At 45.6% G+C, this 14,260-nt stretch overlaps 1 annotated feature.

The window, feature by feature from the left end:
• Positions 6,301-6,494: a silencer, noted in NCBI's record as "fragment chr5:175065813-175066006 (GRCh37/hg19 assembly coordinates)". NCBI's record gives its function as "represses an EF-1alpha promoter that drives an FKBP-Casp9 reporter gene in an ReSE screen in phorbol 12-myristate 13-acetate-treated (for megakaryocytic differentiation) K562 erythroleukemia cells {active_cell/tissue: K562(+PMA)}" and the evidence as "EXISTENCE:reporter gene assay evidence [ECO:0000049][PMID:32094911]".

Consider the following 14,260-nt stretch of genomic DNA (forward strand, 5'->3'; position numbering starts at 1 on the left):
TTTTCTCTTCGCTAAGTGGAAGTGGATCATCATAAAGGTCTTTATCTTGTTATCTTCACATTGAGGAGAAGGAGGAAGAGGATGAGTTTGCCTTGTCCACAAGTGGCAGAGGAGGAAGAAAATCCACGTAGAAGTGGACCTGCGCAGTTCGAACCCAGGTTGTTTGAGGGTCAACTGTACAACCAGATACTGGTCAAAGATGTATGAGCAACATTTAGTAGGAGCACTGAAGAAGGAGCAGTAAGTTCTCCCCAGTGGAGTTAAGCCAGGTGTCCTAGAACAAAAGAAGAGGACCTGAAATCTGGAAGATCATCAGTGACCATGAATGTCCGTGGCCTCCCTCCTGCCCTTGCGGTTCCCGACCCAGGCCTTCAGCCCAAGCTGTTCCTGTTGCCAGGCTCCGGCCTTCCTGGGCCCATGCCCACACCCCAGCTCATCCTACTCAGCACCAGAGCCTTGCCCACTCTGCTCCTTGAGGACCTCCCATGCTGGGCCCCCACTGTCCCCTGAGGTGTCCACTGGTACTGAGCCCACCCAAGTCTTCCCAGAAGGTGAGACCAGGAAATGTGCTTTTTTGGCTTTCTCTCCCTCTGCTTCTTGGAAGCTGCTAACTCATGCGTCCCACCCACTTCAGATTTCACAAACACAAAAACATTGACCTCCCGCCCGCTTAGAGTGGGTCAACATCCCATAAGGTAAGCTCATTTTCAGAGAAGAGGAAACAGGCTCAAAACAGTCAGGGAAAAAAAAAAAAGACAGAGACGGGGTCAGCTCCAAGTTCAGATCTCCACCAGGCACAACACAGCTGACCTATGGGTCCCCTAGGCCAATCAAGGTCATGGGCCTCTGTGAACTGGCCTTCGCTGAAAGGGTTAAAGGAATCAACATTCATTTTAACAAAGAATCGCTGAGCTCCTACCCTGCGGCTGGCACTATTCTACATGCTGGAGATTTGGCAAACAACAAGACAGACAAACATGGAGCTTGGATTCTAGTGAAAAGAGATACACAATCAACGGGCAAATAAATGAACAAACAATGACATTTCCAAGAGTCATATACGCAAGGAAGACAATGAAACAGCGAAACGGGATGGAGGGCAACTAGAGGTGAGAGGGGCTGCTCATTTAGACAGGGTGGTCAGGGAAGGCCAAAACAACAACAAGGATCCTGCCACACAAAGAGCTCTGGGAAGTGTTTCAGGCCCAGAGAGCAGCAAATGCAAGGGCTCCAAGGTGGGAATGAAATTTGCATGTTCATAAAGCAGCAAGACGGCCAGTGTGGCTGCTGCAGAGTAAGGAAGAAGCGAGCATTATGAGATGAGGTCAGAGAGGTGGGGGAGCCAGCTCATGAGGGGGTCTTGTTCATTTGGGAAAGAGGCCAGGGCTGACCACACTAGAGAAAAATTGGCTGGGTACTTGTCACAGGACCTGGATGGTCACTCACTTACTGGGGCGGCAGAGAAGGCTACAAGGCCTGAGGCCTTGGTTATCTGCTTAGTGGCTCCATGGAGTCTGCTTGCTGGAGGCTATCTGGCCTTCTGATCCATTCTTTTCTTTTCTTTTTGTTTTTGAGACAGAGTCTCACTCTGTTGCCCAAGCTGGAGTGCAGTAGCACGATCTTGGCTCACTGCAACCTCCGCCTCCCGGGTTCAAGTGAATCTCCTGCCTCAGCCACCTGAGTAGCTGGGATTACGGGTGCCCACCACCACACCTGGTTAATTTTTGTATTTTTAGTAGAGACGGGGTTTCACCATGTTGGTCAGGCTGGTCTCAAACTCCTGACCTCAAGTAATCTGCCCGCCTCAGTCTCCCAAAGTGCTGGGGTTACAGGTGTAAGCCACCGCGCCTGGTAGATCCATTCATTTCTACTACTATACCTGGTACTACGTATCTCACCAGCTTAAAACATCTCTCTTTTATTTTTCTAGGCATGTGAACACCAACTTGCCCATAGAGGTTTTTCCACATTCCTTGAGTTGCCCAAGCACCCCCAAAGTCTTTCTTAGCTCTCAACAAACTAAGCACAGAAGGAACATACCTCAAAATAATAAAAGCCATATATGACAAACCCACAGCCAACATTATATGGAATGGAGAAAAGTTGAAATCATTTCCCCTAAGAACTGGAACAAGGCAAGGATGCCCACTTTCACAACTCCTATTCAACATGGTACTGGAAGTCCTAGCCAGAGTAATCAGGCAAGAGAAAGAGGTAAATGGCATCCAAATTTGAAAAGAGGAGTCAAATGATCTCTATTTGATGACAATATGATCCTATACCTAGAAAACCCTAAACACTCCACCAAGAGACTCCAGGATTTGATCAACGAATTTAGTAAATTTTCAGGATACAAAATCAATGTACAAAAATCAATAGCATTTCTATACACCTATAACAATCAATCTGAGAACCAAATCAAGAAGTCAATTCCATTTATAACAGCTACAAAAAATTACCTAGAAATATATTTACCCAAGGAGGTGAAAAATCTCTACAAGGAAAACTTCAAAGCACTGGTGAAAGAAACTATAGATGATACAAATTTTAAAAATGCTATGCACGTGGGTTGGAAGAATCAGTATCAGTAAAATGACTATCCTGCCCAAAATAACTTACAGATTCAATGCAATTCCTATCACACAACCAATGTCGTTTTTTGTGGAATTAGAAAAACAATCCTAAAATTCACATGGAACCAAAAAACAGATTTTAATAACGAAAGCAATCCTAGGCAAAAAGAACAAAGCTGACTTTCAATTATACTACAAGGGTTTAGTAACCAAAACAACATGGTACACACACAAAATAGACACATAGATCAATGGAACAGAATAGCGAACCCAGAAATAAAGTCACATACCTACAAGCAATTGATCTTTGACAAAGTTGTGACCAAAACACACACTGGAAAAGGACCCCCTATTTACTAAATAGTGCTGAGGAAATTGGACTTCCATATACAGAAGAATGAAACTGGACCCCTATTTCTCATCACATACAAAAATTAACTGAAGATGGATTAAAGACTTGAATATAAGACCTGTAACTATAAAAATACTAGAAGAAAACCCCAGAAAAAAACTCTTCTGGACATTGGCATAGGCAAAGAATTCATGACTAAGATCTCAAAAGCAAATGCAACAGAAACAAAAATAGAGGAATGGAGGCCAGGGGTGGTGGTTCACACCTATAATCCCAGCACTTTGGGAGGCCGAAGTGGATGGATCATCGGAGGTCAGGAGTTCAAGACCAGCCTGGGCAACATGGCAAAACCCTGTCTCTACTAAAAATACAAAAATTAGCCAGGCATGGTGACAGGTGCCTGTAATCCCAGCTACTCAAGAGGCTGAGGCAGAAGAATTGCTTCAACCTGGGAGGCAGAGGTCGCAGTGAGCCCAGATCGCACCACTGCACTCCAGCCTGGGTGACAAGAGCAAAACTCCATCTCAAAAAAAAAAAAAAAAAAAAATAGACGAATAGAACTTAATTAAACTAAAAAGCTGCTGCACAGCAAAAAGAAATAATCAACAGAGTGAACAGGCAACCTGCGGAATGGGAGAAAATATTTGCAAACTATGCTTCTAACAAATAAACAGAATAAACAAGGAACTCAAACAACTCAACAAAAAAACCCATAAATAACCCCATTAAAAAGTGAGCAAATGACATGAACAGACATTTTTTCAAAGGAAGATATACAAGTGGCCAAGAAGCATTTGAAAAAAATCTCGATATCATTAATCATTAGAGAAATGCAAATTAAAACCACAATGGGACACCAACTTATACCTGTCAGACTACTATTAAAATGTCAAAAAAAAAAACCAGATGTTAGTAAGAATATGGAGAAAAGGGAATGCTTATACACTGTTGGTGGGAATGTAAATTAGTACAACCTCTACGGGAAACAGTATGAAGATTTCTCAAAGAACTAAAAATAGAAAACTACCATTTGATTCAACAATCCCACTGGGAATCTACCCAAAGGAAAAGAAATCATTACATAAAAAAGATATCTGTGCTTATATGTTTATTGCAGCACTGTTCACAATAGCAAAGACGTGGAATCAACCTAAGTGTCTGTCAGTGGAAGATTGGATAAGGAAAACATGGTATATATACACAACATAGTACTACTCAGCCATAAAAAAGAATGAAATCATGTCTTTTGCAGCAACATGGATGGAACTGGAGGCCATTATCTTAAGTGAAATAGCTCAGAAAGAGAAAGTCAAATACCACAGGTTTTTTATTAGTGGGAGCTAAATAATGTGTCCACAAGGACATAGAATGGAATAACAGACACTGGAGACTTGGAAGGGTGGAAGGTGGGAGGGTGGTGAGGGATGAGAGATTACTTAGTGGGTATGATGTACACTTTTCAGGTGAAACATACACTAAAAGCCCCAATTTCACCACTGGCGATATATCCCTGTAACAAAACTGCCTTTGTACCCTCTAAATCTATAAAAATAAAAAGATTTTATAATTTTGAAAAACACCATGGGGAGAAAGAAATGGGAGGATTTCATCATCCACCAGAGCTGCTGCTGCTTCTTTTTTTTTTTTTTTTTTTTGAGATGGAGTTTTGCTCTTGTTGCCCAGGCTGGAGTGCAATGGCACAATCTCAGCTCACCACAACCTCCACGCCCCCAGGTTCAAGTGGTTCTCCTGCCTCAGCCTCCCAAGTAGCTGGGATTACAGGCATGCACCACCACACCCGGCTGATTTTGTATTTTTAGTAGAGATGGGGTTTCTCCATGTTGGTCAGGCTGGTCTCGAACTCCCGACTGCAGGTGATGCACCCGCCTCAGCCTCCCAAAGTGCTGAGATTACAGGTGTGAGCCACTGCACCCAGCCAGAAGTCTGTTATTTTTTTTAAAAGCCTCCTGTTCACTAAGGCAAAAGGAAGAACCTCCTCAAATGCCTGGGGAACTTGAGGCCAGTGAACCTGGATAATAAATGCAAATAGATTTATTGAGGGCTTGTTTATACAGGATTTAGAACCGAGCCCTGAGAACAGCCTGACTATTCTCAGCAACCCCTACCCCCTGCACCCTGCCCTACTCTCTCCCCTGTCCTCCCCCTTTTGGATCCTTTCCCTTCTACCTATTTTCAGTTTGACCCTCTAGGCTGTGAGCTGCTTGATGCCAGGGAACCAGTGCTCCCAGCCTTTTCTTTTCCAACATCCAGGGCACGGTACACATTTAAATGTTCACTAGAGGTATAAAGGGAATGAATAAATGTCTAAGCTCTTAAGGTGGCTGAAATAGCAATGCTCTGGGTTGAACTGTGTACCCCCCAAAAGATGTTGAAGTCCTTACCCCCAATACTTGTGAATGTGACCTTATTTGGAAATAGGGTCTTTGAAGATGATCAAGATGTGGTCATTAGGGAGAGCTCTAATCCAGTATGACTGTGTCCTTATAAAAAGGGGATATTTGGACACAGAGACACATGTATAGAGGGAAGAGATGTGAAGACACAGGGGGAATGTCATCTACAATCCAAGGGGGCCACCAGCGGCTAGAGGAATGGCACAGAACAGATTCTCCCTCATGACTCTGAGAAGAAACCAACCCTGCTGTCATCTTGATCTTGGACTTCCAGCCTCCAGAAGTGTGAGACAATACACTTCTGTTGTTTAAGCTATCTGGCTTGTGGTATTTTGTTACACAGCCTTACACAGCCCTAGGAAACAGAATACACAGAAATCTAGGGTTGTGAACGCAATGTTTTAAAGGACTTGTGGGCTCCTTCATTCATTCCTTCATTAAACAAATGCTTACCATGCGCCATCCCTATGCCCAGCCCTAGCAAAGGGCCAAGGTAGTGGTCGTGGCCCTTGGCACGCACCTTCCACTTTCTTGCTGTTGTCCTGTCAACTGTTTGCCCACCTCTTTTCTCTCCTGCAAAATGTGTCCTCAGAGCTGTTCAAATTCACTCCCTTTCCCTTGTGAAATATGCCCTTGATTTCGACATTCCTTACCATTCACATTCAAATGAAGAAACCAACCCAGCCATGCAGTTCCTCTTGTGCTCCCTGCTAGATTTCAGCTCCTGGAACCATCTCTTACCCTTGCCTGGGTCCCCCCTCACCTGCTAGCAGATAGTCTTTTTTTTTTTTTTTTTTTTTTTGAGAGGGAGTCTTGCTCTGTTGCCCGGGTTGGAGTGCAGTGGCACAATCTCGGCTCACTGCAACCCCCGCCTCCTGGGTTCAAGCAATTCTCCTGCCTCAGGCTCCCGAGTAGCTGAGACTACAGGCACGCGCCACCCAGCTAACTTTTGTATTTTTAGTAGAGACAGGGTTTTACCATGTCTGCCAGGATGGTCTCGATCTTTTGACCTCGTGATCCGCCCGCCTTGGCCTCCCAAAGTGCTGGGATTACAGGCATGAGCCACCGCCCCCGGCCGTTAGCAGATATTCTGATTGAGTTGTCTGCTGGGCAGCCCAGGCACACACATCCTTGAAACATCCCAGCAGCTCCTAATGCACAGCCAGGGTTGAGAAGCTCTGCACTGGAGGCCTATGATGAGAGGGCTGATCTCTGTCTAATCATAATGATGATGAACACCAGCAAAAATAGCTAACACATAGTGTACACAATGTGCCAAGAACCGCTATCATTACTCACATTTACTCTTTTCAGCCTCACAACAATCCCCTGAGATAAGACTGTTATCTCCCCGATTTGCAGGTGAGAAGAGTGAGGTGAGTTCAAGGCCACCCGGCTAGAAAGTGATGGAGCTGGGACGTATAGCCAAGGGCCTGGCTACCTGTCTGACTCTGGGACACAGGACGAGGCTGAAACCCAAGGCTGTCACTAGGATTGAGAGCAGAGATGCTGGTTTAAACACACACAGGACCTCCAGCCATCGGTTGTCACAGGCGACCTGATTGTTCTTGTCACTTGCTGCCAGCTCAATACAGCTCCAGTGGATCCCCCTGAGTAAGGTGCTTGAGTAGGATTCTGTCCTAGTTGAGGCTCTGCCTTAACATAGGATGCGTGCCAACCTAGCACATTCTACAGGGCAGAGCCTCATGGGAAGGTGGTTAACACGTGACGTGCAGGAGGCGCTCCTCTGGGGGTCCCCAACAAGGGGCAGGGAGCAGTGCAGGGGAGTGCCTCAGACCTCAGACCCCAGGCTACGCGACCTGGATCCAGGTCCCAGCTCTGCCTCTCGGTAGCAGGGCAACTTGGGCAAGTTGTTAACCTCTCTGGGCCTCAGTTTCCCTGTGAGCAAAGTAAAGATGCTGCTAGTAATCACACCTATCTCAAAGGGCTGTGGTGGGGATTAAATAAATTCATACAGATAAAGGGCTTGTTACAGAGCCAGGCACCTGCCACACACGTCTGCCATCACTCTCCTGGAGAGCGATGTAGGGCTTCCCTGCCATGATGGGTAATGTCCATCTGTCCCTCCAGACCCTCTCTCCACTGCAAAAGCCTGCTACATCAAAGAGCTCCCTCGTCCCCTGGCTTCCTGTTGTGTTCAGCCAACAGGCATTGCTGCCAGGAGGGAAGCAGGGAGTGAGGTTGGGGGCTGGGTTGGCCGCCTCTCTGACTGATGATGGCTGCTCCTCCCTAGCCCTCTCTGTGTCCAGGTGCTGGACTCTGCACTCTCCCCTTCCCGCTTCAGCCCTAGGGGTACAGATGCCTGGCTGTGACCACCAAGGGTGCGGCACTGACTTTTGTGGCTCCTCTTCAGCCTGCCTGCACCTTTGTAAAAAGTCTCTCTCATGTACTGCTCCAATTACCCACTTGCAGTGCACTGTTTCCTGCCTTGACGGTTTCTAACATGCTGTGTTAGGGGCTGTGTCAGGAAATTTACTTGGTGGCCCAGAATGAGAGAATACACTCATTCCTGCACAGTGTTCATAGGTAATAAATGGTGTCATAAGACCTTAGCGCTGGATTTCAAAGAAGGATGCTTGAACCCTTCCAGCCCTGCAGAATCCCACCTGGAGGTAGGGAAACATGCTGAGACTGCTAGAGAAGCCTCAGCTGGGAAGGGCTGGGGGGCAGGGAGCCTGCTGGCCTTTCTCTCCACGCCCACGCCCTGCAGCAGATATAGGTCCCCACGGCTGGTTTCCCAATCCTTCTGCCAGCCTCCTCCCGGAGGAACTGGGAGGCACATCACTTTCTAGTGGGCTCAGGCCTCTGTGGGGCCTGGGAATCTGGGGCCCTGCAGGGGACCTGCAGCCTCCGTAGATGCACTGGGGGCAGCTGCTGTGCTGAGATTGTTGGTCCAGCTGCTCTGTCTTGAGGATCAAGGGCCTCCTGGAGATACCCAGGCAGAGGTCTTGGGTTGGGAGGGCGGTGCTCAGAACTTCCTTGCTTGGCCAGAAAGTCAGAGGAGCAAAGACAGTGGAGAGGCCTGAGGATTTCCCTCCCAAGCCCTCATCACATTTGACACTTCTCTACTGTCTCCTCCCATCCTGCTCTCTCTCATTCTCTCTCTCTCTCTCTCTCTTTCCCCCCAAGAACCCTTTCCTGTTACTTTCACTCATGCCTTTCAATGTTTCCTGTCCCCATCCTCAGTCTCCACCTGGTCTTGGAGCAATTTCTCTTTCTCTGTCTGCATCTCCACACTCAACATCCACATTGCTTTCAAGAATCTGAAAGATCGTTAGGCAGAGCACTAAGAAAATAGTGCCGTCCCCTAGCTACCAAAGAGATGGGGTCGGGGGTGTGGCATCAGAAATGTTTTTTGTGTATAGTAATAACAAAACGCCCAGCATGATAGTACATTGTTTAGAGTTATAAAATATTTATGCCAGTGATATTACTAAATAACCATAATAGAAGACATTTCTTGCGTATTTGTACTGGTACCACGCTAAAAGCTTTACTCAAAGTATCTAATTTAATATTCACAGCAAGACTGTGGCACATATGTTACTTCTTCTCTGTCACAGGCCAGGAAACTGAGACTCGAGGTGGAAGGTCATTTCTCAAGGTCATGCACTTATTAAGTGGATTCACACCCAGATCTGCTGGACTCTGAAGCTGTGTGCTCATAACCACTGATGCCAGAAAGAGGTAGGATATTGATTCCACCCAAGATGCTAACTGCTCAGCCACTACAATGGAGAAGAGACATCTTTCAAAAAAGCAAGAGAAACAGCAAAACATCTAGGAATAAACATGCAGGCAAACAGGCCAGGCCAATAACAAGGAAACGATGCAGCTAAGCTCATGAAAGAAGGGCTGGGTAAATGCACTGCAGCTCATGTTCCTGGGGCTGTAAGGCCAATTCGCCTCAAATCACTTCATTAATTTGCTGTAATGCCAATAAAAATCCCATTAGTACCCGGGAGAAGATCTTGACAAATTAATTAAAATTAATTAGGGAGAAAAAAATGCTCAAGAATAGCCAAGAAAATGTCTAAGAAATATAACAAGGAGGGGAGCTCACATTACTCAGTCATTCTTTCTGTGGATATTCATTGAGCACCTACTATATACCAGGTTCTGAGGCACCATAGTTGTCCTCAAGAAGCTTACAGACTGGAGGATACTAACACGTGCTACAGAACCGGAGGGTGTAAATGGTGTGGTCCTGGGGTGGAGCAGACAGAGAGAACCAGTGACAGCCCAGGCATAGGTTCTTGAAATGGGGTTGGGGGGAATTAGGAAACAGTAATCATGAGGACAGTTACTGGTGATTGGGAGGGACTGCATCAATTCATTCCACAGCAATCACCTGAGTCTGGAACCCTGGTGATCCCCACTTTACAAGGAGGAGGCACAGGCCCAGAGACCTTAAGTAACCTACTCAGGGTCACACAGCCAGTAAGTGGCAGAGCGGGACCCAGAACCCAAGTGTGTCCCATTCAAATGTCCCTGCCAGTAACCACCACAGACAGTGGCAGGTGGGACGTCAAGGCAAGTCAGTGGGGAAAGGAGGGCCTCACCAAGCGATGGTGTGGAGATGATTCTTCGAGAGATGATTAATTTGATTGTAAAAATGAATTTGAAATGGATTTGATATTCAAATAACATAAGACAAAAATTGTTAAAGTCATAGGGAAAATAAAAGAAAGAAAGGTTTTATGAGCCTGAGTTGAGAAAGGCCTTTCTCAGAATGCCATGAGGGTCAGAAGTGAGAAATAAGGCCAATAGGTCTAACCATGTTGAAATGTAAAACTTTTGTATTGTAAAAGGCATAAAGACAAATGGAAAGATATAATTTGCAAAATATGTGAGAAGTCAGTGGGGAAAAGAGGAATGTCCTATAGAAAAATTGCAGGCTGGGTGTGATGGCTTACACCTGTAGTCCCAGCACTTCGAGAGGCTGAGGCGGGCAGATTACTTGAGCTCAGAAGTTCGAGGCCAGTCTGAGCAATGTGGCAAAACCCTGTCTCTACCAAAATTTTTAAAAATGAGCTGGGTGTGGTGGTGAGTGCCTGTAGTCCCAGTTACCTGGGAGGCTGAGATGGGAGAATCACCTGAGCCTGGGGAGGTTGAGCCTGTGGTAAGGCATGATGGTGCCACTGCACTCCAGCCTGGGCACCACCGAGACCCTGTACTTAAAAAAGGAAGAAAGAAAGAAAAGTGTTCTTTCCGAAGGACCTGCCTCTCAGAGCTACCTGCCTCTGGAAGGGGCAGTCATATGTGTTCATTTGCTGGTCCAGGACCCATCAGATCCTCTCTCAAGAAGACCTGAATGAAAAGATGAGTCACAGAGCTGTCAGCTGGCGCGGAGTCAACCTGAAAGGTCATTTTAGGAAAAGGCCAGAGTCACTGCCATCAAGTCAGGCTTACTGTTGAGGGTGCCTGTGAAGTGCTGGATTGGGAACAACTAAAATGTCCCTCAATAGGGGACTGGCTAAAAATTACAGTTCATCACTACAAGGGAATACCATTCAGTGATTAAAAACAATGAGGTAAACATTTTATACAGAAAAAAATGCAGAAACTGCACAGTGTGATTTTTTTTTTATTTTTTAATGTATTTTTTAAAGTGTGTGTGTGCATGTGTGTGTGTGTGTGTTTCTGTGTTGAAGATTCAAATTGCCTGGGTTTGAATCCTGGACCTGGCATTATTAGCAAATTACTTAAACTCTCTATCCCTCAGTTTTCTCATCTATAAAATGAGAAATAGGCCAGGCACGGTGGCTCACGCCAGTAATCCCAGCACTTTGGGAGGCCGAGGCAGGTGGATCACCTGAGGTCAGGAGTTCGAGACCAGCCTGGCCAACATGGCGAAACCCCATCTCTACTTTAAATACAAAAATTGGCCAGGCGTGGTGACGCGCACCTGTAATCCCAGCTACTTGGGAAGCTGAGGCAGGAGAATCACTTGAACCCAGAAGGCAGATGTTGCAGTGAGCCGAGATCACACCACTTCACTCCAGCCTGGGCAACAGAGCGAGACTCCGTCTCAAAAAAAAAAAAAAAAAAGAATTGTGTCTTCTTCAAATGGTTGTTTTAAGGAGCATTAAAGCATGCAATACTCCTAGAACAATGCTAGGAACATACTAAATGCTGTGTAACTGGTAGCCACCACCATCACCATCATCATCGTCCTCTAGAGGGTGGAGAAAAAGGTACTCTTTACATAGTTCATTGTCAATATCACTGAGAGAAGAGATTAGGGTGAGGATTACATTGTTACATTTGGCTCTATGCACATCTACATTAACCAAATTTTATATAATGGATGTGTTTTGTATTGGACACTAAAAGAAAGCCATGAGGAGCTTACCCCTCTAAGCAGAAGAGCTGACCAGCAAAGAAGGAGAAGAAAGGAGAGCAGATGGGCTGAGAGAAAAGAGATGACATCCCCTGGGTCCCCAGAGAGCGAGCAATGAAGGGAGTGACTTCAAGAACTTGGGATGGAAGTTATTCTGCATCCAATAAAGGCAAGGCAGTAATTTGCTTATAAAGTTTTTCTGTGTCCTTACAAAATACACTCTCTTCCATTATGTTATACTTAAGCTAGTTCAAATGGCTTTTTGGCACGGTGCAATGGCTCACACCTATAATCCCAGGGCTTTCAGAGGCCAAGGCAGAAAGATCACTTGAGGCCAGGGGTTTGAACCCAGCCTGGTCAATATAGTGAGACCACACCTGTACAAAAGAAAAATTTAAAAATTAGCTGGGCATAGTGCTGTCTGCCTGTAGTCGCAGCTACTCAGGAGGCTGAGGCAGGAGGATTGCTTGAGCCTGCAAGGTCAAGCTGTAATCATGCCACTGTGCTTCAGCCTGGGTGACAGAGCAAGAACCTGTCTCAAAAAAATACAAATAAAAATTTTTTTAAAAAATAAAAAAAGGCTATTTTTGTACGTGATAACCAAACAATCCTGACCAAAACAAGTAGCTGGTAACAAGAAAATATTTTCAACCTTATTGAGAAACAAAGAATTGCAAACTAAAACAGAAAGATACCAGTTTCTATCTATCATATTGAAGAATATTTAAGATTTTTTGTTTGTTTGTTTTTGTTTTTTTGAGACAGAGTCTCACTCTGTCACCCAGGCTGGAGTGCAGTGGTGCGATCTCATCTCACTGCAACCTTTGCCTCCCAGGTTCAAGCGATTCTCCTGCCTCAGCCTCCTGAGTAGCTGGGACTACAGGCACCCACCATCACCCCCGGCTAATTTTTGTATTTTTAGTAGATACAGGGTTTCACCATATTGGCCAGGCTGGTCTCGAACTCCTGACCTTTTGATCTGCCCACCTCGGCCTCCCAAAGTGCTGGGATTACAGGCGTGAGCCACCATGGCCGGCCGGTTTAACAGATTGTTAAATGCTGTATTAGTGAGCGTGACAAGAAATAGTCCACATTCACACACACATGTCGGGCATACACATTTGGTCAGCCTTTGGGAGGCCACTTACCCAAGAATATATTTGCCTTTAGAACAAGAAATTCCACCATGAAGAATTTTCCAAAGAAAATCTTGAACCAGGCTGGGCACGGTGTCTCACGCCTCTAATCCCAGCACTTTGTGGGGCTGAGGTGGGCAGATCACCTGAGATCAGGGGTTTTAGGTCAGCCTGGCTAACATGGTAAAACCCCATTTTTACTAAAAATACAAAAAATTAGCCAGGTGTGGTGGCACGTGCCTGTAATCCCAGCTGCTCAGGAGGCTGAGGCAGGAGAATTGCTTGAACCTGGGAGGCGGAGGTTGCAGTGAGCCGAGATCACGCCATTGCACTCCAGCTTGGGCAATAAGAGTGAAACTCCATCTCAAAAAAAAGAAAAAAGAAAATCTTGAACCAGTTCATGAAGATACAAGTTCAAGGATGATGGCATTGTTTATACTGGTGAAAAAACTGGAAACAACCTTAGCATGCCTCAGCAAAATAGTTGAACAAGTGGGACACCACAGCAGACAGCAGCCCCCACCACCCCTGGCTCGTGGTGTCCAGGCCTTTGTGTAATGCCATCCCCTTAAGTGTGGGTACGACCTAGTACTTGCTTCCAGCCAATAGAATACTATAGCATTGAGTGGGTATCGCTTCTGTGATTCAATTACAAAAGGTTCGGACTTCCACCCTGCTGGCAGATTCTCTCCCTTGCTGATCTGATGAAGTAGGGGAGGACCACATGGAAAGGAGCTGAGGGTAGCCTCTGGCCAACAGCCATGGAAGAATTCATCCTCTCTGTCTAACAACACAGAAGGAACTAATTCTATTGACTATCTAAGTGAGCTTGGAAGCAGATATGTCTTAGTCTGTTTTGTGTTGCTATAACAAAATACCATAGATTGAATATTTTACAAAGAAAAGAAATTTATTTCTCACAGTTCTGGAGGCTGAGAAATCCAATATCAAATTTCCAGCAACTCGCAAGGGCCTTCTTCCCACATCACCCCATGGCAAAAGGTAGAAGGGTGAGAGGGCACACATGAGGGAGAGCAAGCAAGGAAGAGAGAGCCAAACTTGCTTTTACAATAACCTACTTTCGCAATAACAAACACACTCTCATGATAACATTAATTCATTTATGAGGGCAGAGTCCTTATGGCCTAGTTACCTCTTAACGGTCTCACCTCTTAATACCATCACAATGGCAATTAAATGTCAACATGAGTTTTGGAGGGGACATTCAAACCATAGCAAGATTCTTTCTTCCCCAGTCAAGCCTTCAGAAGATAACTCAATCCTGGAAGACACTTTTCAGTCTAATGAGAGACCCTAAAACAGAGAATGCAGCTAAGCAAAGCCCAGATTCCTGGCCCACAGCAATTGTGAGATAATAAATATGTGTTGTTATAAGCCACTAAGTTTGTGGTAATTTATGA

Source organism: Homo sapiens, chromosome 5 (assembly GCF_000001405.40).
Source record: "Homo sapiens chromosome 5, GRCh38.p14 Primary Assembly".
Lineage (NCBI taxonomy): Eukaryota > Metazoa > Chordata > Mammalia > Primates > Hominidae > Homo > Homo sapiens.